Source organism: Homo sapiens, chromosome 13 (genome assembly GCF_000001405.40).
Source record: "Homo sapiens chromosome 13, GRCh38.p14 Primary Assembly".
NCBI classification, from domain to species: domain Eukaryota; kingdom Metazoa; phylum Chordata; class Mammalia; order Primates; family Hominidae; genus Homo; species Homo sapiens.
In genome coordinates, this window is record NC_000013.11 from 24597816 (window position 1) to 24621355 (window position 23540).

A 23540-nucleotide genomic window follows, 5' to 3' on the forward strand; every position below is an offset into this window, starting at 1 on the left:
TGAGATATTTAAAAATTGTGATTCCCCAACACCCACTTACATATTTTTGGTCAAGTATTTATTCCCTGCTTTGGTTCACATTTGTAATTTCAGATTTATTAGAAAGCTAATTTATATTTTTTCTTCCACTTCATTTACAAACTGTCTGTTAACAGATTGGCAACAAAGACTAAGTTTTAAATCCAGAAGAGAGAAGTGTTTCACACAAGCAGTCCCCCAACTCCCAACACACACACAGTCTCTCATTCTGAGCACTAAATAGGTAGCTTACTTGACAAGCTTCCTTTAATCACACACAGACATGGGGGTTGGGGTAAGAAGATTGTGGTAAATATGAAGATAAGTAATCTCTGGTAACTTCTGCTTTTGTTTAAAACTGTAAGTGAAATCAAAAGAAATATTTGTTCTTAGAGTAATCTAGGTGTATTATTTTGAAATTCACTACACCTGCTCACAATTCACCTAAGCTTGGGAGGACTCTGAAGGGAGGTTATCTTTTCATTATAAACACTGGTTAGCCTTATGTCTACAGGAAATCATTATTATTTCCTCTTTGGTGCTGGGTGCTACTTTTTTTTTTTAACAAATTTTTTTATTTGTATTTTTTATTTCTTGAGACAGCATCTCACTCTGGTTGTTGAGACTGGAATGCAGTGGTGTGATCTTGGTTCACTGCAGCCTCAACCTCCCAGGCTCAGGTGATTCTCCCACCTCAGCCTCCCAAGTAGCTGGGACTATAGGCGCATGCCAGCACACCCAGCTAATTTTTTGTGTTTTTAGTAGACACGAGGTTTTGCCGTTGTTGCCTAGGCTGAGCTCAAATTCCTGAACTCAAGCAATCTGCCTGCCTCAGCCTCCCAAATTGCTGGTATTGAGGCATGAGCCACCACGCCCAGTCTGTGGGTGTTACTTTATTCAAAACACCTTTATTGCCACTGTATCTTCAGGCCATGATTGTCCTTGAAAACATTCTATCTTGGCCTTATTGAAATTATTCTTATTTGAATGATTTTCCTTTTATTGTCAAGGCCCTCAACAATCTAGACCAAGATGAGTTCATCAGGAAATGAAAGGTAACAACTAATAAGACAAGTGTCACTGCTAAAACACGGTATACTCATTCCTGAAAAACCTGGCACTCTACAGAAAGGACTAAAAAAAGAAGCGGTCCATGAAAATACAGTTTGAGAGTCCAGGGCAATCCTGTCCGGCATAGCAACTTTCTAACCAACACACTAACCGCTCGGGCCACCCAAATCAGCAGCTCAGTGTCGGGAGTTTGCCATAGAGCTTTTTAATTTTTGAGTGGAAATAGAAAAATACTTGCTCTAAGGGCTGTGGGTACCAGAATGGCACAGATGAGAGTAGAGCCCTGAGCCATGGTGGGCACGGAAGGCAGCAACCTGCCAGGAGCCAAGAGCCCCACTAGACTGGTGAGCCACCTCGCTGCAGGTGATTTTTTCTCCTCTAAATATTCCAAAAACGTTCCGACTGCCCATGCAGCAGCCCAGCTAAGGCCTTTTTCCTTTACTCCCCCTGACCTGGCTCCTGCTTTGAGGAAAAGATCATAGAACGTGCTTTCAAATTCCTTTCATGTTAATATTATGCCCTGCCATTCATATGACAGAAACATGTAGGCACAACATAGGTTACACTATTTCCTTTAAAATTCACACAGCCACAATCTACAGAGGGCATATTATGTCCTGGGTTTAGGTGAATAGGGAGGAAAATACTTAGCTGGCTCAGTGAAGATTAAGATCTGTCTTTTTCAGTACCAGAAATACAGGAAGGAAGGAAACCCCCTTTTTTATTTTAAGAATTTCCCTTTTTGAAATAAGGAGATTACCATTAAGGTTTCTCTTCCCCAGACCTCCAAGACCCACCAAAATTTCTGGAAATTATGAGTTGTCACACTATTCTGCTTTCGCTTATTCAAAGAAAACTCATTTAAGGCCTCTTTGGGTATTGCTTTCTTAGAATGCAAAATGAATGATTCTTTGAACAACTCAAGAAACTTAGATCAGAATGATACTCATGTCTTAAAATTTTAACTTTAATTTTAAATACAGGGGGAATGTGTGCAAGTTTGTTACATCAGTATATTGCACCCCGGTAGTGAGCATAGTACCCAATAGGTAGTTTTTCAACCCGCACCCTTCTCCCTCCATCCCCCTCTAGTAGTCCACAGTGTCTATTGTTCCCATCCGTATGTCCAAGGGTACCTGTTGTTTAGCTCTCATAAGTGAGAATATGTGGTATTTGGTTTTCTGTTCCTGCATTAATTTGCTTAGGATAATGGCCTCCAGCTCCATCTATGTTGCTGCAAAAGACATGATTTCACTCATTTTTATGGCTGTGTAGAATTCCATCGTGTATATGTACCACATTTTCTCTATCCAATCCACCACTGATGGGCACCTAGGTTGATTCCATATCTTTACTATTGTGAATAGCACAGCAATGAACATATCAGTGTGTGTGTCTTTTGGTAGAATGGTCTTTTTTCCATTGGGTATATATCCAATAATGGGGTTGCTGGGTCAAATGGTAGCTCGTTTTAAGTTCTTTGAGAAATCTCCAGACTGCTTTCCACAGTGGCTGAACTAATTTACACTCCCACCAACAATGTATAAACGTTCCCTTTTCTCTGCAGCCTTGCCAGCATCTGTTGTTTTTGAGTTTTTATTAATCTCCATTCTGACTAGTGTGAGAGGGTATCTCACTGTGGTTTTGATTTGCACTTCTCTGACAATCCGTGACGTGAAACATTTTTTCAGATGCTCATTGGTCACTTGTATGTCTTCTTTTGAGAAGTATGTGTCATGTTCTTTCCACATTTTTAATGTGGCTATTTGGTTTCTGTGTGTGGATTTGTGTAAGTTCCTTATAGATTCTGGATATTGGACCTTTGTTGGATGCATAGTTTGCAAATGTTTCCTCCTGTTCTGTGGGTTATCTGTTTGCTCTGTCGATCATTTCTCTTGCTGTGCCAAAGCGCTTTAGTTTTATTAGGTCTGACTTGTCAATCTTTGTTGTTATTGCAATTGCTTTTGGGGACTTAGTTAAAAATTCTTTCCCAACCAGGCGCGGTGGCTCACACTTGTAATCCCAGCACTTTGGGAGGCTGAGGCGGGTGGATCACGAGGTCAGGAGATCGAGACCATCCTGGCTAACAGGGCGAAACCCTGTCTCTACTAAAAATACAAAAAATTAGCCGGGCGTGGTGGCGGCGCCTGTAGTCCCAGCTACTCAGGAGGCTGAGGCAGGAGAATGGTGTGAATCCAGGAGGTGGAGCTTGCAGTGAGCTGAGATCACCCCAGTACACTCCAGCCTGGGAGACAGAGCGAGACTCCATCTCAAAAAAAAAAAAAAAAAATCTTTCCCAAGGCCAATGTCAAGAAGGGCATTTCTGAGGTTTTCTTCTAGGATTTTTATCACTTGAGGTCTTACATTTAAATTTTTAATCTATCTCCAGTTAATTTTTATATATGATGAAAGGTATGGGTCCAGTATCATTATTCTGCATATTGCTAGCCAGTTACCCCAACACCATTTATTGAATAGGGAGTCCTTCCCCTATTGCTTGTTTTTGTCAGCCTTGCAGTATCAGGTGGTTATAAGTGTAAGGCTTTATTCTGGGTTTTCTATTCTGTTCCATTGGTCTATATGTCTGCCTTTGTACCAGTACCATGCTGTTTTGGGTACTATAGCCTTATAGTTTGAAGCCTCTGGCTTTGCCCATTTGCTTAGATTTGCTTTGGCTATTGAGGCTTTTGGTTTCATATGAATTTTAGAATACTTTTTTTCTAATTCTGTGAAGAATGACATTGGTAGTTTGATAGAAATAGCACTGAACCTGTCAATTGCTTTGGGCAGTATGGTCATTTGAATGATACTGATTCTTCCAATCCATGAGCATGGAAAGTTTTTCCATTTAATTGTGTTATCTCCGATTTCTTTCCGCAGTGTTTTATAGTTCTTGTAGAGATCTTTCACATCCTTTGGTAGCTGTATTCCTAGGTATTTCATTTTCTTTGTGGCTACTGTAAATGGGATTCTGTTCTTGATTTAACTCTCAGCCTGGACATTATTGGTGTATAGAAATGATGTTGATTTTTATACAGTGATTTTTTTATCCTGAAACTTTGCTAAAGTTGTTTATCAGTTCTAGTAGCCTTTTGGCAGAGTCTTTGGTTTTCTGGGTATAGAATCATATCATCAGCAAAGAGAGATAGTTTGACTTCTTTTCCTTTTTGGATGCCTATTCTTTCTTTCTCCTGCCTGAGTTCTCTAGGTAGGACTTCCAGTGCTATGTTGAATAGGAGTGGTGACACTGGGCATCATTGTCTTGTTCCTTTTCTCATGGGGATTGGTTCCAGCTTTTGCCCATTCAGTAGGTTGGTGGCTGTGAGTTTGTCATAGATGGCTCTTATTATTTTGAGGTATGTTCCCTTGATGCCTAGTCTGTTGAGGTTTTTAATGTGAAGGGATGTTGGATTTTATCAAAAGCCGTTTCTGCATCTATTGAGATGATGATATGGTTTTTGCTTTTAGTTCTGTTTATGTGGTGAATCACATTTATTGATTTGCATATGTTGAATCAGCCTTGCATCCCTGGACTGAAGCCTTCTTGATTGTGGTGTATTAACTTACTGATGTGCTGCTGGATTCTGTTTCCTAGTATTTGGTTAAGAATTTTTGTGTCTATGTTGATCAGAGTAATTGGCCTGAAGTTTTCTTTTTGTGTGTTTCTCTGCCAGATTTTGGTATTAGGCTGATGCTGGCTTCATAGACTGAGTTAGGGAGGAGCCCCTCATCCTTAGTTCTTCGGAATAGTTTCAATAGAACTAGTACCAGTTCTTTTTTTTTTTTTTTTTAGACAGAGTCTCACTGTGTCACCCAGGCTAGAGTGCAGTGGTGAGATCTTGGCTCACTGCAAGCTCTGCCTCCCAGGTTCACGCCATTCTCTCGCTTCAGCCTCCCGAGTAGCTGGAACAACAGGTGCTCACCACCACGCCTGGCTAATTTTTAGTTTTTGTATTTTTAGTAGAGACGGGGTTTCACCATGTTGGCCAGGATGGTCTCTATCTCCTGACCTTGTGATCTGCATGCCATGGCCTCCCAAAGTGCTGGGATTACAGGGGTGAGCCACCGCGCCCAGCCTCAGTTCTTTGTACATCTGGTCGAATTCAGCTGTGGCTTCATCTGGTCCAGGGCTTTTCCTTGTTGGTAGATTTTTTATTGATGATTTGATTTCTGAACTTGATATTTGTCTATTTAAGGTTTCAGTCTCTTTCTAGTTCAATCTTGGGAGATTGTATGTTTCCAGGAATTTATCCATTTCCTCTAGATTATCTAATTTGTGTGCATAGAGTTGTTTATAGTATTCTCTGAGGATCTTTTGTATTTCTGTGGGATTGGTTGTAATGTCATCTTTGTCATTTATGATTGTACTTATTTGGCCCTTCTCTTTTTTTCTTTGTTTAGCTATCACACTATCCATCTTGCATATTTTTTGAAAAACTAATTATTGGTTTCATTGATCTTTTGTGTGGATTTTTGCATCTAGTCTCAAAAAAAAACAGCACTTCAAAAAGCACTTCATTTAGTGCTTTTCTAATTTTAGTTATTTCTCTTCTGCCAGCTTTGGGATCAGTTTATTCTTTTTTTCTAGTTCCCTTAAGTGCAAAGTAGGAATGTTAATTTGAGATATTTCTAACTTCTTGATGAAGGCATTTAGTGCTATAAACTTTCCTCTTAACACTGCTTTAGCTGCATCCCAGAGATTCTGGTATGTTGTGTCCCTATTTTCATTAATTGCAAAGATTTTTTTAATTTCTGCCTTAATTAAGATTTTCACCCAGGAGTTATTCAGGAGCAAATTATGTAATTTCCATGTATTTATGTAGTTTTGAGAGATCTTCTTGATACTGATTTCTATTTTTGTCTCACTGTGGTCAGAGTGTGTGCTTGGTATGATTTCAAACTTTTTGAATTTATTGAGGCTTGCTTTGTGGCCAAGCATGTGGCTGATCTTAGAATATGTTCTGTGTGCACATGAGAATGTATCTTCTGTGTTTGTTGGACAAAGTGTTCTGTAGATGTCTATCAGGTCCAATTGGTCAACTGTCAAGTGCAAGTACGGAGTTTGTTAGTTTTCTGCCTCAGTGATCTGTCTATTGCTGTCAGTGGGTTGTTGAAGTCTCCTGCTGTTATTGTGTGTCTAAATCTTTTTGTAGGCCAAGAAAAACTTGTTTTATGAATTTGGGTGCTCCAATGTTGGGTGTGTACATATTTAGGCTAAGTCTTCTGGTTGGATTGTGCCCTTTATCATTCTATAAGGAATGCCCTTCTTTGTCCTTAATTTTTATTGGTGAAAAATATGTTTTATTTGTCCAGGAGTGGTGGCTCACACCTCTACTGCCAGCATTTTAGTAGGCTGAGGTGGGCAGATCACGAGGTCAGGAGATCGAGACCATCCTGGCTAACATGGTGAAACCCCGTCTCTACTAAAAATACAAAAAAATTAGCTGGGCATGGTGATGAGCACCTGTAGTCCCAGCTACTCAGGAGGCTGAGGCAGGAGAATGGCATGAACCCAGGAGGCAGAGCTTGCAGTAAGCCAAGATCGCGCCACTGAACTCCAGCCTGGGTGACAGAGCGAGACTCCGTCTCAAAAAAAATTAATTAATTAATGAAAAAAAAATATATATATATAAAGTTATGTTTTATTTAACATAAGAATAGCGACTCCTTGTCTTTTTTGTTCTCTATTTGCATGACAGATCTTTCTTTATCCCTTTACTTTCAGCCTGTGGATGTCATTAGGAGTCAGATGGGTTTCTTGAAGACAGCAGATGGTTGAGTCTTGTCTTTTAATCCAGCCTGTCATTTTTTGCATTTTAAGTGGGGTGTTTAGCCCATTTACATTCAGGGTTAGTATTGATATGTGAGATTTTCATCCTGTCATCATGTTGTTAGCTGGTTGTTGTATAGACTTGTTTGTGTGGTTGCTCTGTTTTGCCTATGGGCTATGTGCTTAAATGTGTTTTTGTGGTAGCAGGTTCTTTCAATTCCATGTTTAACACTTTTTAAAGGATCTCTTACAAGGCTGGTCTAGTTGAAATGAATTCCCTCAGTGTTTGTTTCTCTGAGGATTTTATTTCTCCATCACTTATGAAGCTTTTTGGTGAGATATAAAATTCTTAATTGGAATTTATTTTCTTTAAGGGCACTGAAAACAGATCCCCAATCTCTTCTGGCTTGTAAGGTTTCTGCTGAAAGTTCTGCTGCTAGCCTGATGGGCTTCCCCATGTGCATAACCTGGCCCTTCTCTTCTTTTTCCTTCAAGATTTTTTCCTTTTGCATTGACCTTGGTGAATCTGCTGACTATGTGCCTTGAGGATGATCATCTTATATAGTATCTAGCCTGGGTTCTCTTTATTTCTTGGATTTGCATGTCAACCTTTCTAGCAAAATTAGGGAAAGTTACATGAATAGTATTTTCAAATATATTTTCCAAATTGTTTATTCTCTCTCTTTTTCTCTCAGGAATGCCAATGAGTCATAGCTTTGGTCTCTTTACATAATCCCATATTTCCATCAAGTTTTGCTCATTTTTAAAAATTCTTTATTTTTGTCTGAGTTGGTTAGAAAAGCTCTGAGATTCTTTCTTCAGCTTGGTCTGTTCTGTAGTTAATACTTTCAATTGTATTATATAATTCTTATAGTGAATTTTTCAGCTATAGAAGTTCAGCTTGGTTCTTTCTTAAAATGGCTATTTCTTCTTTCCGCTCTTGGATCCCTTTATCTTTATCTAGGACCACTAATCTTTGGATTAGTTTTCAATTTTCTTCTGAATCTTGATGAGCTTCCTTGCCACCCAGATTCTGTATTCTACGTCTGTCATTTCAGTCATTTCCAACTGGTTAAGAACCATTGCTAGGGAGCTAGTGGACTCATTTGGAGGTAAGGGGACACTGGCTCTTTGAATTGCCAGAGTTATTGTGCCAATTCTTTCTCATCTGAGAGAGTTGGTATTCCTTTAACTGTGGCGTAAGTTGAGTATAGTCAGTTGGCTGCATTTTTCTGAGGGCCAAGGTTCTGTGCACGGTCTTTATTTGTGGCTGAATTCTCACCTTGGTTTTATAGGAAGGTATATTAGCAAACTATTTTTGTAATTTAGGTTGACTTCCAGTAGATGGCACATAAGAGTAATGGTTGGTAGATAGAGCTTAGCCACATGGCTCCTTTGTATTTCCTGGTGTTTCCGGCTGTGCTCTGCAGTACAGTGGGAAGAGAGGTGACCACCTCGTCAGGTCCGCTCCTGGGCACTGGGGAAGCCCCTTCCAACCAATGGCACTGTGCCCATGTTTCTTTTGGCAGGTGCGCTCTCTCACACAGAGGCTGTGGTAGGGAGATAGGCCACCCCTTTCCCAGTCAGCTGGCCCTGCAGAGGGAGACATGCCCACTGCTGTGGTAGCCCACAGGTTCATGTAACTCAGCCCTCTCAGTACGCTGAGAGTGTGGGCTCCTCTCCTGCTCTAATGTGTGCTACAGATCTCGCCTTGGCACTCCCAGGCTTCAACACTGCAGCCCCAGGGAAAGCTCAGGCTTTTTGTTCCCTCCTCAGCTTAGGGACAGCAGGGATAGGGACCCCGGCAGTGGTAATGACAGGGGGCCTATCAGTTGCCTCTGGGGACTCTATCCCAGACAAATGCAAAACCACAGCCAATTGGGGTGATCAGCCAGGGTTGGGGCAGCTGTGCTGCTGGGCCCAAGCTGGGGGCCCTGCCTGAAGAGCAGGAAGGTCAGGCAACCCAACCCTGAAGATAGCCTGGCCTCCTCTCTGTAGGATGCTGTGAGAAAGTAATCAGGCTCTTTGTTCCCTCCCTAGCCTGGGGGAAGCAAGGGCGGGTACTGTGGTGGCAGCAATGGCAGAGGCCTGTCAGTTGTCTTTGGGAGCTCCATCCCAGAGAAACACAGAGCCATCACCAACTGAAGTGATCAGGCAGGAGTAGTGCTGGGGGCCCAAGCCAGGAGGCACCCTGCGCAGTGAGGAGCAGCAGGGCCAGGGACCCATGTGGAAAACTGTCTGGCTGCCTTTCCATATGGCAGCTGTGGCATGCTGGAGGCCCATGACAGCTGTCGGGGCTTTTTACTCCCTCTCCAGCCTGAGGGCAGTAGGGGCACAGGCTGCAGCAGTGCAGAGGGCCTGTTGGTTACCTCTGGGAGCTCCATCCCAGAGCAATGAGGGCTGTGACCAGCCGGAGTGCTCAGGTCGGGGGTGGATGGCTGCGATGGAGGCCCAGGCCAGTGGGCCTTGCCTGGCAAGGTGCAGTGGAGGCAAGGCCTGCAGTCTGTCTGCTCCCCAGCATCATGGATATGGCCCCTATCCTAGGGGCACATGACAGAGCCTGGCCTACCTTGTTGGCCGGGCTGTGGCAGCTGGTGCTGGGGTGCTCAGAGATCCACATTGGCTTGAGCAGTGGCTCTGCCCAGACTCCAAGCAGCTCTTCATGTCAGTCTAGAGCCCCAGGGTGTGTGTGTGGGGCGGGTGGAGTCATGGAGGGTCTCCTGCGCCTGGGAATTACAAACGTCCATGGCAGAAGTATGGGTCCCCAGGAGCTTTCACTCACTCATCCTTTCCCTGCTGTAGGGAGCTTCCCCTTGCTCTGCACCCAGGTGGGCAACTGTCCTGCCTTACTCCCCTCTGCTCTCAGTTAGTCACCACTGCTTCCTTGATGAATCCCAACACAGCCTGCTGGACGATCAACCTGAAGAGCTCATGTTCACTCACCACTCTCATCTCCTCTTGTGAGAGCTGCACACACTAGCTGCTTCTAGTCAGCCATCTTGGCGCTTCAGATACTAGTTTTCTTAAGTAGAATTTACTAACTTGGAATAGAATCATCCAAAACTTAAGAGCAGAGAGTTTAACTATTTTTAAAAACAGAAGGATAGAAAGAGATGGAGGGAGAAAGTAATTCTAGTGGGCCGAGTTCCATAACTGCAGTGCATAGAAATGTTTTTGTCACCAGGCGCGGTGGCTCACACCTGTGATCACAGCACTTTGGGAGGCTGAGGTGGGCAGATCATGAGGTCAGGAGATCGAGACCATCCAGGCCAACACGGTGAAACCCTGTCTGTACTAAAAATGCAAAAAAAATAGCCGGGCGTGGTGGCAGGCACTTGTAGTCCCAGCTACTTGGGAGGCTGAGGCAGGAGAATGGCATGAGTGAACCCAGGAGGTGGAGCTTGCAGTGAGCCGAGATCGTGCCACTGCACTCCAGCCTGGGTGACAAAGCGAGACACCATCTCAAAAAATAAAAATAAAAAAAGAAATATTTTTGTCACCTTACCTACAGTGAGATTATTATACATCACGTGTCTTGCTGATGGAAAACAATGCTTGTTGCAATAAAACCACTGCCTTGAAACACTACTATACATAACTCTTTAACATTTCTGACAGTTGCTTCCCAGCATGGATGTAAAGAACTTCAACAAAATTCATCAGACTCAAATATTACCATGTTAGTCAGGCTGGTATCAAACTCCCGACCTCAAATGATCCGCCTGCCTTGGCCTCCCAAAGTGCTGGGATTACCGGTGTGAACGCACCATGGCTGGCCAGTGGTTGAATTTTTTAAAAAGTATTAATGGGGTGCTTGAAAACTAGAATATCCATCTAGATTTGTAAGACAGTATACCTGCATACTGGTGTGGCTTCCACACTTGAGTAAAAGCTTCAGAGTAGGCCTCCTAGATTTCCCCAAGATACTCTACTCTTATTTTTCTTTTTCTTTCTTTTTTTTTTTTTAGACGGAGTCTCGCTCTGTTGCCCAGGCTGGAGTGCAGTGGCACAATCTCAGCTCAGTGCAACCTCCACCTCCCGGGTTCAAGCGATTATCCTTCCTCAGCCTCCTGAGTAACCGGGATTACAGGCACGTGCTACCACACCTGGCTAATTTTTGTATTTTTAGTAGAGACGGGGTTTCGCCACATTGGTCAGGCTGGTCTCGAACTCCTGACCTCATGATCCACCCGCCTTGGCCTCCCAAAGTGCTGGGATTACAGGTGTGAGCCACCGTGCCCGGCCGATGCCCTACTCTTAAAATAGTGCCATTCATTTTCTAGGTAGGATCATATTCCACACTGACTATATTGCTAGGGGTGGCCTAGAGGGTCAGGCCTTTGGGAAATGGCACGGCCTTTACCAGCTTCCCTTCTCTCCCAAAGAACTTCCCCTCTTGGACTTTAGATTGAGGAATGGGGCAGAGTAGTAGGCGGTGCCGCTGTGCTTTGATAAAGGCCCCTGTGGCTGGCAACAGCTCTTACCTTTTGTCTCTGGGTCCTGGCGTGGGTGGAATTCCTGGGCGTTCTGTTGGCTCATCTGGGGCCATCAGTCCACTTTGAACTACTCACTGTCTCCTCTGCCTCCACCAATTAGAAACCCTTCCAAGGGACAGTGAGAGCCAAAGCCAAGAAAAGCCTTGTTCCCTATTTGGTGATTGAGTGACAGTGGGTGAAATCCTTTCTCAGAAAGAACTAGAAAGAACTCAGTGCTTGTACTCACAGTGAGTAATGTCAGGGCTGACCCATCCTGACACCAATCTTGCCATGCTTTTACTGTGTTGGAGGCTTCTACATTTGGTACTGGCAGTCAGTAAGTCTTAATGGAACATAATTGTACTTAACTATGCCATATGTACGTATTCACCGATCAAAACTTCACTGACTAACCAACCAAACCCCACACTTCATCCGATCCCCCATAGACTTGGGGATGGGCAGGTATTCTTTGGCCATATGGTATAAGAGGGTCATTCTTGTCACTACTAAAGTTAGCCTCATCATTTTGTGCTGCCCCAAGACCAACAGGGCCTCTCCTGTAAACTGAGTGCAAGCAGGCTGACAATTTTAATAATAGTCCATACCATGTATGTGCTTCTGTCAGCAGAATGTATATGTTATGCAAAACCTCCAGGCTCCTTAAGCTTTTTGCTGTCCATGAATCCTCTGTGGCAACTGTAGTCACAGAGCCAGAAGCCAGAGGGTCAGGGATATGAGAGGCTGACAAATAGCTGGGGACATCTGGGGAGGAGATCCCTGTCATGTCTCTTGTGCCACAGAGCTATTATGGCTGGTCTTCCATTTGCTATTTCTTTCTTTAAGAGAAAATCATTTTTCTACTTCGCTTTTCTCTCCATACTTAAATGGTCAGTAGCTACTGAGTGGTGCTTTATCTGAACAGGCCTGGGTTGAAGCAAAATAGAAATGGGACTGGCTTTCCACAGGAAGTAAACTGCTCCAGAGCCCACAGTCCCCTGCTCAGTGCCCGGAAACTAGTCAGTCATCCCTGTTGGCAGTAAGTGTTCCCATAGCCGTTCCATTAGAGGTTTAACTAGATATCTTCAATAGAAGTCTGAGACAAGTGGGAGTGAGAAATGGAGGACTAGATTGGGAGAATTTTTTTTTTCATTCTGTTTGCTTAATTCATGGTACAGTTTGTGCTATTTCATATTTGTACTCCAGGAAAAAATATAACTTAAAAATACCGTGTCTAAAGAAATTTCAGTGCTCTATCATCATTAAATTATTTACTTACATGCTTATATGACAGTCATGCTCAGATGTCACTGTCGTTGGTTTCTTGGGTGTATTTTCAATGTGTCTGCTGCTGACTCTCACATCACTGGGTTTCCTTGCAGGTTTTGTATTTCAGCTCTGAGCTTGGCTTCAGTGGGATTGTTCTCTGTGCAGACCTCCCTGTCTTGCCACGGTGTTTGTCTCTACTCACACTCCGTGGGGTTGGCTGTCCCCATAGCACAGTCCTGTTTGTAGGTCCTGGCCTCCCGTGATGTACTGCCAAGTGCTACCAGTTCCTCACACTGATACTGTTCCAACCACAGCCTTGAGAAAGAAGCCTACTCAGCTACAGAGCCATGTCCACAGGCTGGATGGAGGCTTTTCATCCGAGTTCAGAGAGGCAGCCACTTCCTGGGTCTGGGTTTTTCTCAGGCAGCCTGAGTTCAGTTCCCCCATATAAAGGTTGCTCATGGCCTCAACACCTGTCCAGGGTGGGAATTCACAACTCAGCCTCTGAGGGAGGAAGACCGACATGCCTTCACCTCCTCCTCCACCCGGCTCATCTCTTCAGCTGTGGCATCAGGTGAGTTCTCCTTCAAACATGGCTGTGTGTTTGTATTTTTGTTTTCTCTGCCATTTCATATTTGGAGCAAGAAGTGGGCTTTTCATGGCGGCTGACCTCACTGTGCAATCATTAGCTTATGGGAGGCTCCACAGATAGCCAAAAGTTAACATATTCAAAAGAAAAGCCATCAGCACCCACGGTCCTTCTTTCTGTTTCACAAACCCTGGCACACACCTTCTTCCATCTTCACAGTCACTTGTTACAAGACAGCTGCTTGAAAGGCAGGAAGGTAAACTGGGAACTTAATCAGGTTCCCTTTTTAAAGAGGTTTTCCAGAATTCACCTCCTCAACAATATTCTTTTATGTCTGATCTACCTTTCTTGACAGACTGTAAACTCCATGGAAGTTGGAGTCTCAGAAATGATCACTGGCTTGACACCTGCTGGGTGCCTAATAAGTCTTTCTTTAATTATGGATGGATGGGTGAAGAGATGGGTGGACAGTTGGGTATATGGATGGATGGATGGACAGGTGAATGAATGGATGGATAGACAGATAGATGAATGAACGTTCCCTATGCTCTCATATCTCTGTTTTCCCACAGGATGTTCCCTTTGCCTGGAACATGCTTCTTCCATTCACCACTCAGCTGACTCCTGGGCATCCTTCAAGATTCAGCTGAGATGTGCCCTCTTCCAGAAAGCTCTCCCTGATGACTGTATGTGGGCAAGGTGTCCTAGGTGTCCTGCTGTTTGCTGATGTTGCGCCACGTGTCTCTCTCCACAATAAGTTTTCCTGTTTTCCTGTGCGGGACTGTCTGGCTCAATTTGCCTGCAGGCTCTGAGGCCCCTGAGAGCAGCCCCCAGCTTTGACTCTGTGTATCTAGCACTGGCCCCACTGCCTGTCATGGAGTGGGAGCACAAGAAATGTTTCATGAAATTTGAATAAAAGTAAAATTAATGAAGACCATCTGTGCCTCATTTACAGAGAATGACATGGCAGATAGAAGACACTGTGGATGAACTGAGTGAGGAGTTCTCATCGACTGCTCAGGCCCTGGAGCTCCAGAAAGAGAAAGACAAGACAGACCCACAGGCCCCTGATGAAGGCTGCACATTTGCTGTAAGCCCAGCAAATGTGCTTAGGTCTCAGCTCCTAAGGTGTTCACAGAGGTGGGGCCCACAGGGTCACAGCCCCTTCCACAGCGAGGGGGTTGGGATCAGAACAGCCAGCTCAGAACAGACTATCCACCCAAGTCAGGTTCTGCACGTTTGGTTTGGCAAGTGGAAGACTACACCAGGAAGCCTTAGACCTGGGGCTGGACACAGGGAAGCCCACATCATCAGCTTGGGGCTGCAGCTCTCTAAGTAAATCCACAGCCTGGAAAGATTGAGGAAGGGCATGGAAAGGGAATAATGAAAATAGCTGTTAGTGATGTAGCTTGATGGACAGGGCATGCCTCTGGAAGCAGGAGCTTTTCATGAGCTGCATCTCCAGCCCACTGCCCTCCATCCTAGCTCCAGTCCCCAGCTGTGCAGATACAGAGGAGGCTGGAAGGGAGAAAGACAAGAGATAGAGGTGATCACACAGCTGTGTCTCCACTGAGCTCAAGACACCTTTATTTACTAAAGCTTGCAGCTGGCCTGTGGGCCTTAGGTTGCCAGTGTGATTAACATGGCATAAAATACAATTTGTCTTGACTTGAAGTTCCCCTCACATCACGTTTTCTCCAGAGTGTCTGGTTTCCACTTTGGTCATCGTGTCATGTTTAACCTTCCCTTCTAGTCTGTAAGCCCCCCCGGACTTTTGCACGCAAGTCCAGGGCCTCCCTCGCCCCATCCTAGTCCCTGAGTTGCTAAAAATGGGTGACACCCTGGGTGGTGGAAGGGTGTGGGTCAACACTAGCCTTCTCAGAGTAGGTATCTGGACTGGGATACCCTGAGACGCCATGGAATCCTTTGTGTCCAGCTCGAGCAGACCCCCTGCCACAATGACCAAAAGAGCGGGCCAAGGAGGGGCAACAGGGTGTGTCCTTCTCATTGTACACACATCAGGGAGAGCCAGGATATGCCCTGAATATGAAGGATTCCATGAGAACATCGCATTGGCTTGGGCCTTGATGTCGGGAGGTCTGGAATATCAAGTTTTCTTCATCAGACTGGACTCTCTTTTGAGACAAAAGTGACAAGAAAGGGCACTGTGGTCTCAAACAGCTAAGGGAAAACATAGCCTCTGAGCCGGCAAGGCAGTGTGGGACCCCAGTAATGCCCATAAAATGCACAGATGCCTTCCCAGCAGGGATGCCAGAAGCACACATTCCATGGCCCTACAGAGGCCCCCAGAGGTGGACTCTCCAAAGGCAGATGCCAGCCTCCCGCCATGTTCTCAACACACTCATCATTCTCACCCTGAGCTTTGTACAGACTCCTTCCAAAGAGTTCGTGCTCAGCTATGGGGCCAGTTCCTCTCTTATCCCTGGTACTAAGGAAGGAAGGAAAAAACAAGATGAGGTGAAGGGCTGTAACATGTGGTGAAGTTTAATTATTCAATAATGGTTCCAATTATTAAACATGACTATTGCATAATGACATAATTGGCTGTGGATGTGCTTTTGTGTGGCCACATAAACTCCAGGAAACTTTGTCTTCATTAGTTTCATTAGTCTTCATGAGGTCAGGCCTGGGGGCAGCTCGTTTGACTCTTCCCAAGTGTGGGGTAGGTGTTGATGCCTTGAGAGTGCCAGAGTGACACAGGTCATGACCCACGCCAGGGTGAAGTGAGAACTCTCAGGGGTCACCTCTCCTTGTTCCACATCTGTCTTTTCCAGGTGGCTCCCAGTGTCTTCCCTTGTGAGTAGCAGGAAGACAGACCTAACCCACGGGAGGCAGGCGACCCAGCCAGAGAGAAACGGGAACCTGGGTCCTGAAGAGACCCCACGCACTGGAGCTGGTGGTGACGAGAGTCCACCGGCCCAGAGGATCGAGGACCTGGAGTGGGAGCTGTCCCTGGCTGAAGGCAGCTCGAGTGTGGGAGGGAGCAGGCCCAGCAGACATGCCAGCTCAGGGGCCACTGAGTCACACCGGATGCTGCTGTGGTGGCCACCTGCTGGAGGTGCCTTCTCCACGAAGAACATGGCCAGGTTCCCCTGGTAGGAAGGAGTGGGCGTCTCAGGCCTGGGGTGTGTGCTGGGTTTATGACGTGCTCCTTTTACAGGAGAACAAACACCTGGATTTCTTTCAAAGCCTGGACCTTGACTTATGCTGAATTTTGCCTTGGTTCTTTGGAGTGGGAGAAAATAGAGCCATAGGCATTGAGAAAATCAATGTGCTCTCCCATCACTGAGTCTGTCCTTCAGTACCTCACTCAGGCATGGACTCTCAGTGCCCCCAAAAGCTTTACTTGGGGCCGCTGGTTTGAGTGGTGAGAAGTGCTTGGAGTGAGGGCCATAAGAATGTCAGTGCAGCCGCAGCACTTTCATGTCCCATCTTCCATCACGCCCCATCTTCCATCACACCTCTCAGCCGAGTCTCCAAGGCCCCGACGTGGCTCCACCTGACCTCCTGGACAGAGAGAGGCAGGTGGTGTCTGTGGGCCAGGCCTCCGAGCCACACTGAGGACCCCCAACACCTGAGAGGACTCCCTGAGCATGGCCAGAGCCAGCCCCCAGTCAAATTGGAGCTCTCCACACCCGCCCCCCCGACACACACCTGCACTCCCTCCTCGGAAGGGAAGGGACCTCTCTCAATCCTCCTTCTTTCTGCTGAGGCCCCAAGTGGAACTCACTTCACTTCTCAGACCCACTCCAGAGGCCACTCACTCCTCGAAGGTCTTTCCCAGCCCTTCTCTGTTGTCTTCCTCCTTTGCCTCCCATCTTAGTCATTTGTGCCACGGTTTACCCTCCCTTCTAGACTGAGCTCCTCAGAGCAGGATGTGTGGGTTGTTAACCTCGATGTGTCTCACACACACAGATGCACATGCTTTGCATTTACAGGTATTAGATGCACACGTTTTGCTTCACACACACACTCCCAAGCACAGCGCTTTGCAGACACAGGTATTAGATGACCCATAAATGCTTTGTGCATGTAATTGACTATAGAGACATGGCCTCTAACCCAGAGATCACACAGGCATGTGGGGAGGCCACATCAGCACACGGGAAGCTGCATAGAAGACAGTGCAGAACCGAGTGCCAAACACTCCGGACAAACTAGAACAGAGGGAGGACCCCCAGGCCAGTGAGATGGTGCTCAGGCCAGAGCCCTTAGGGATACCTTCAAGGCGGGGCTGGGACTGACCTAGCCCTTGGGGTGTGGAATGTGGATGCGGGAGAGAGGCAGGAAGAGGGAGTTTTTCAGGTGTTTAGAATGAGAACAAGGCCAGAGAACAACATGCAAAGTATTGGCCACGCGAGCAAGGCCAGAGAACAACATGCAAAGTATTGGCCACGCGGAATTTGAGAGGCATCAGTTTAGGAAGAGGAACCCATGGGTGGAAGTGGAGTGGAGAGGGTGTCCTGGGCATTACCTGCTGCTCCAGGGGTTTGTCTGAGAGACAAAAACACCGCAGGAGTCCCAGCAGCTCTGCTAACCTCAAGGTGGCTTCTGCTCTTCAGCCTGCTAAAACCTTTTCAGAAATGTTCCTCACTAGACAGAGGTCAGTGACCCAGTCCCTTTTAGTAGCAGCAAGTCTCTGGGCCAAGATAGAAGGAAGTCACATCCTACTTAAAAAAAAAAAAAAAAAAAAGCCTGAGTATGCAGTTCCTGCTGCCTGGGGTCTCCAGGCAGCAATCTGTGCATTCACACTGCTGCTCTGTGGCCTCTGGGTTGACGCTGCTGACCCTGAGTGTCTAGAAGTCCCATCCCCACCACCAACAGATGCCAAAACACAGCCCAATATGTATCCATCTGTCCTCACTCACTGATGGACACACAGCGCAGGGTGGGCCAAGGCCCAGAAGGGAGGTGTGAGGGGAGGAGGCCCTGGTTCCCGGGGCAGCTTCTCATGCAGGGCTGGGGATGAGAGGCCTTGGGGCCCCCGGGACCCCTGGTAGTTATGCCTTTACTGGGGGCCTAGGCCTGTAGGTCTGTGGGGTCATTCTGGAAAGGGCCAACATGGGGCTTACTCGCTGGAGTAGGAGACACGCCCACCCAGGCCTGAGCCCAGGGCTGTCTCTCATGGTTCCCAAATCCACTATCTGCCCAGTCACACCTGGCAAACCCAGAGACCACTGTGCATGTCCCAGAAAGGGACCAAGGATGGGAAGCAGCTGGTCCAGGCTCCATAACTACTCACTGCCAAGCCCCCACTGGACCCCACGCCTCCTGGCTCATGGCTGGTGACATGACAGCAAGGCTTCCAGGTGCAAAGGCTCCCGGGGGAAGCTCGAGGGCTCCAAGACTGAGGCCCTTGCCCCAGGGGTACAGTGACCCTGAGAAGTTTAGAGCTGGAAGAGGGTTGTCGAGTCTCAAACTCCTTGTGCAGAACAGCCAGCATCTTGTTCAAATGCAGCCTTGATCCTGGGGGCCTGAGCATCTGCTCCACCAAGCCCAGGGGGTGCTCAGACTGTGGACCTCACTTTGATGCCCAGGTCATAGGCCTTGGTAAGAAAGGTGGATTTCATTTTAAGGTTAATGAATAGTGATTGGAGGGTTTCACCAAGAGAATAATTTGGTCTGGGGGTACACCAGTTTGGGGGAGCCGGGGGAAGGTCACAGATTCTGTTTGTTCCTGAGCTTGAGCCTCCTACTAGACACCCAAATCTGGTGAAAGGTGGGCAGCTGTATCAATGAACCCAGAGCTCAGGGTGATGTAGGAGGTAGACAGGAGAGAGCCTACAGGGAGCCCTTCGTCTCCGAATGTACCCAGTGCCAGCCTCGGGGACAGTGTCAGTCCACACAGCTGCCAGTTGCTCCCACTCCTTCTTAGTACAGATGTTCCTGGACTTACTTTCTTTTGGCTTTACAGTGGGCTTATTGTGATATTAAATGCATTTTTGAGCCTGTAATCCCAGCATTTTGGGAGACCGAGGCGGGCAGATCACCTGAGGTCAGGAGTTCAAGACCAGCCTGGCCAACAGGGTGAAACCACATCTCTACGAAAAATACAAAAATTAGCCAGGCGTGGTGGCGGGCACCTGTAATCCCAGCTACTTGGGAGGCTGAGGCAGGAGAATTCCTGGAACTCGGGAGGTGGAACTTGCAGTGAATCAAAATCGCACCACCGTACTCCAGCCTGGGCAACAGAGTGAGACTTCATCTCAAAAAAAAAAAAAAAAAAAAGAAAGAAAGAAAGAAAAGAAAACACATTTGAAGACATAGCAGCAGCCAACATATAAATACACTGGAGATAACTGAAAATTTAACTTTGGTTGTTAAGTTAATGTGTTCTTACTTAGACTTAAAAATAAATCTGTCCTCGTTAAGTTTAAAATATCCCGAGGCAGGAAATCAAGACATTTTTAAATTTCTGGCATTTTTAAATTTCTGGCAGTTGATCTATAGGAATCTGGATTTCTGTCAATCACGTACTGCCAAGTAACAAAGCGCCTCGGGATGCAGATGCACCTGCGTCTGGGAGGCTGCCTGGCTTCCATTTCACATGTTAGTATTTCCCAGAGGAGCCTGCTGCTCCCACTGACTCCTACATTATAGGTTAAAAGGTGGCTTATTGCCTGTTTCACACACTTCTAAAAGGATCATGCTGGCACTAATATTTCCCTACTGACAAGAACCTCTGGGAGCCTCTGTGCCTGAAGAGTAGGGGGCAGGGCCCTGCCTGCTCCTCACAGGGAAGCCCTGGCCTCCACATATCTGTGGGCCTATGACCCACCTTGTGTGGGCAGCGGCTCTGGGACAAATGCCTCAGCATTTCCGTGTTTGGGGCCCTCCCTACCCTGATCCTTCCTATTCTTCCCCAGCATGGAAGAATAGGACAGACAGCGGAATTCAGTAGAGCCTCGGGCCATTGCCCCACCGACATTCCTTCCTTCCAGTCTCTTGACACACACCGCATTTTAGTTCCCTGACAGTCAACCAGGACAGCAGCACCCACTTGCCAAGAACAGTGCAACCTCTGTGAACACCCTCCCCTATCACACACTGACAACCAAGGACGGCCCAGGCTCCATAAGGAAACCCTCCACCACCACACACCCAACACCAAGGATGGCCCAGCCCCCACAGGACACCCTTCACCACCACACACCCACCACCCAAGCCTCTAGAACTTCCCAAGCACATATGATGCAGGAGGAAGATGAGACAATAGATGCAAAGATGTCTCCACCATGGTTTTGATGATTGCTGGGCCTTCTCACCTAGGAAAGAGTCATACACTCATATCACTCCTGCAGAGGGCTTCAACCTGCCATAGAAAGGGACGTAATGGGACTGTGCTTTGAAGGACACTTATGCCCCAACCCGGACAGTGGTGAAATACACGAGGTGTTTCCATTACACACACAGGGAAGGCCAGGGCCTAATGAAAACTCCCCGCCAAGGAGAAGCTCTGTGGGGTCCCGGCTGCCTCTTTCATGACAAAGACAGCCTGAGAAGCACAGAGGGCTCACCACTGGCTCTGCCACTTCCTGGCTGAGGGGCCCTGACCAAGTCTTTGAAGTCTCTGCACCTCAGTTTCCGTGTTAGTACAACAAGCGTGATTCATGCACGTGCTTGGAGGGCTGCAGTTAGAATAAGAAATCCCACACAGGAAGCTCTGCTGTGTGGCTGGGATCCCGGAAGTAACAGGCTTGTTAGTTGATTATTTGCATTTTGAGGTAGTTCTGAGGTCACAGACAGTGAGGGATCCCACCCTTAATATGAAAGGTGTGGACAATACAGCCAGCAGCAGCAGCTGCAGAACGCCGCTGAGGTGACACCTGAGTCCTCTGTGAAGTCCCCTTTTCTCGCCAGGCGTGCGCAGAGGCCTGGGGGTGTCTGTAGTTTATCTGGGGCCTGAGGAAGCCTCATCCAGACACAGGCCTGGCCCCACACCCCAGCTCCACACATGTGAGCTGTTCCGCCAGAGAGCAGGAGGACTAGAACAAGGCCACCTCCGTTCTCCTGGGAGCTAAAAATGAAAAGAGGCACTGGGCAAAAGCACTTGTTTTTGTCGATAGCAACACTTGTGCACAATTTTGAATCAATAACAAACATGTTCACAGCCAAAAACATGCCGGAATGCATCAACCCTTCATTATCTATGTGTGGATTGCCTATTTTGTTAAGTAGCATGTGTTTTTAACTTTAAAATTATGTTCAAATTTTACTGTATAGTATTCTCTACCTAAACTTCTTTACACAGCATTAAAGTTTCATAACTTCAAAATGCCCACCATTCATATCTTAGTATGTTCTTTCGTTTCTCTTTAGCGACCAAAGGTAAATACTAAATCCCGTGGTCAGCATGAGCATATCTTGTGTTCTGATGTTCTGTTCTTCTTTTTTTTTTTTTTTCTTTACTTTTTGAGACAAAGTCTCACTCCGTTGCTCAGGCTGAAGTGAAGTTGCACAATCATAGCTTACTACAGCCTCTATCCCCTGCACTCAAGCAATCCTTCTGCCTCAGCTTCAGGAGTAACTGAGACTACAGGCAGGTGCCACCACACCTAGCTAACTGTTTTCTTTTTCTTCCTTTTTTTTTTTTTTTTTTTTTTGAGAAACGAGTTCTCGCAATGTTGCCTAGTTCTCGAGCTCCTGGCCTCCAGCAATCCCCCTGCCTTGGTCTCCCTAAGTTCTGGGATTACAGGCGTGAACCACCATACCCGGCCTGTTCTGTTTTGTTTTGTTTTTACATTTTTTCCTTATAATAACTTTCCCCATATCTAAACAGGAGAATATTAGTTTTTACTTGGACTTTTTAACTATATATTATTGGATTACAGGGAAATGTTTTTTTCTTGTCAGTTATTTCATTGTAATATTTTTTTATAGGCGGTGTTATTATGTTATAGGGTTTGAGTGAATTGTGGGTTTTGGTTATATTTTCAGGTTGCTTTCCAAAATTATCATGCCAGATGTGTCTAACCCTGGAGCCTAGATTGGGTTCCCCACCCCAAGGCCACACACAGCTGAGAGGGCCTCAGCCTCCCAAGTAGCTGGGACTACAGGCACCCACCACCATGCCTGGTTAATTTTTTATATTTTTTAGTAGAGATGGGGTTTCACCGTGTTAGCCAGAATGGTCTCCATCTCCTGACCGCATGATCCGCCCGCCTCAACCTCCCAAAGTGCTGGGATTACAGGCGTGGGCAACCATGCCCGGCCTATATATCTATATTCTTATACCCATTTACCGACCTCTCTTCATCTCCCTACTTTGCTACCCTTTCCCAGGCTCTAGTAACCACCAATCTACTCTCACCCTCTATGAGATGAACTTTTTAGTTCCCACAAATGAGTGAGAATGTGTGATATTTGTCTTTCTGTGCCTGGCTTGTTTCACCTGAGATAATGACCTCCAGTTCCATCCATGTGGCTGCAAATGACAGGATCTCTTTCTTTCTTCTGGCTGAATAGTTATTGCATTGCATATATGTACCAAATTCTCTTTATTAATTCATCCATTGATGAACACCGAGGTTGATTCCATGTCTTGCCTATTGCGAATAGTGCTGCAATGAACATGGGGATGCAGATATCTCAGGGAGAGAATTTTGATCATTCCAGGAAGCAGGCAGGAGGCAAATAATTGAAGGAATTTGGATCATAATCCAAAAGACACAAAAATCCCAAATGCCATAATCCAGAATTTTAAAATCTGGAAGGACCAAAATTCCTAAAGATCAAAACCCTTAACTTCTAAGTCCCTAAAGTCTAAAATCCCTAACATCTAAAATTCTAATCACGGGATAGCCGCACCACAGTGCCTTGTGCAGGCTGTGCAGGAGGCGTGTATGAGCGCCAAATTGACAAGGGGCGACCATTTTAGGCATCAATGTGACTGAATTAAGGAATATCTAGAAACCTGGTAAAGCATTATTTTGGGTGCATCTGTGACAGTGTTTCCAGAGGGGATTAGGGTGTGAGCATGAGTGGACTAGGTAGGAAAGATCCACTCTCAATGTTGGCGGGCACTATCCCGTCAGTTGGGGCCCAGAGAGAACAAATTCGGAAGGAGAATTGGTCTCACCCTGAGAGCTGGGAAAGGATTTTCTTCTATTGCCTGGGACACTGGAACTCCAGGCTTGCCAGCCTTTGGACTTCAAGACTCAAACACTAGCCACCCCTTGGGTCCTGAGGCTTTCAGCCTGAGCCAGGCTACCAGCACCCCAGGTTGACTCTGTATTGCATATGTACACAAAAACTTTGAAACTTCCTCAACAAATGAAGAGATTTTGTTTTTGTACATCTGCATTTGGGAAAAGGTGAAATTTCTCAA

The 23540-nt window shown here is 46.2% G+C and overlaps 1 long non-coding RNA gene across 2 annotated transcripts, besides 1 other annotated feature; it reads left to right on the forward strand.

Moving 5' to 3' along the window:
* The first annotated feature begins 12072 nt into the window (after nucleotides 1-12072).
* On the forward strand, nucleotides 12073-16063 carry LOC107984610 (uncharacterized). 2 transcript variants are annotated; one of them, XR_001749794.1, is made up of 3 exons: nucleotides 12073-13177; nucleotides 14148-14282; nucleotides 15988-16063. It is a non-coding gene; the product is annotated as an uncharacterized LOC107984610 (long non-coding RNA). The 2 variants fall into 2 exon arrangements; XR_007063724.1 differs by lacking the exons at nucleotides 14148-14282; nucleotides 15988-16063 and adding an exon at nucleotides 13765-14126.
* Nucleotides 16130-16630: an enhancer, noted in NCBI's record as "H3K4me1 hESC enhancer chr13:25188083-25188583 (GRCh37/hg19 assembly coordinates)". NCBI's record gives its function as "activates a minimal SCP1, AML or CMV promoter by ChIP-STARR-seq in primed H9 embryonic stem cells {active_cell/tissue: H9 hESC(primed)}" and the evidence as "EXISTENCE:reporter gene assay evidence [ECO:0000049][PMID:30033119]".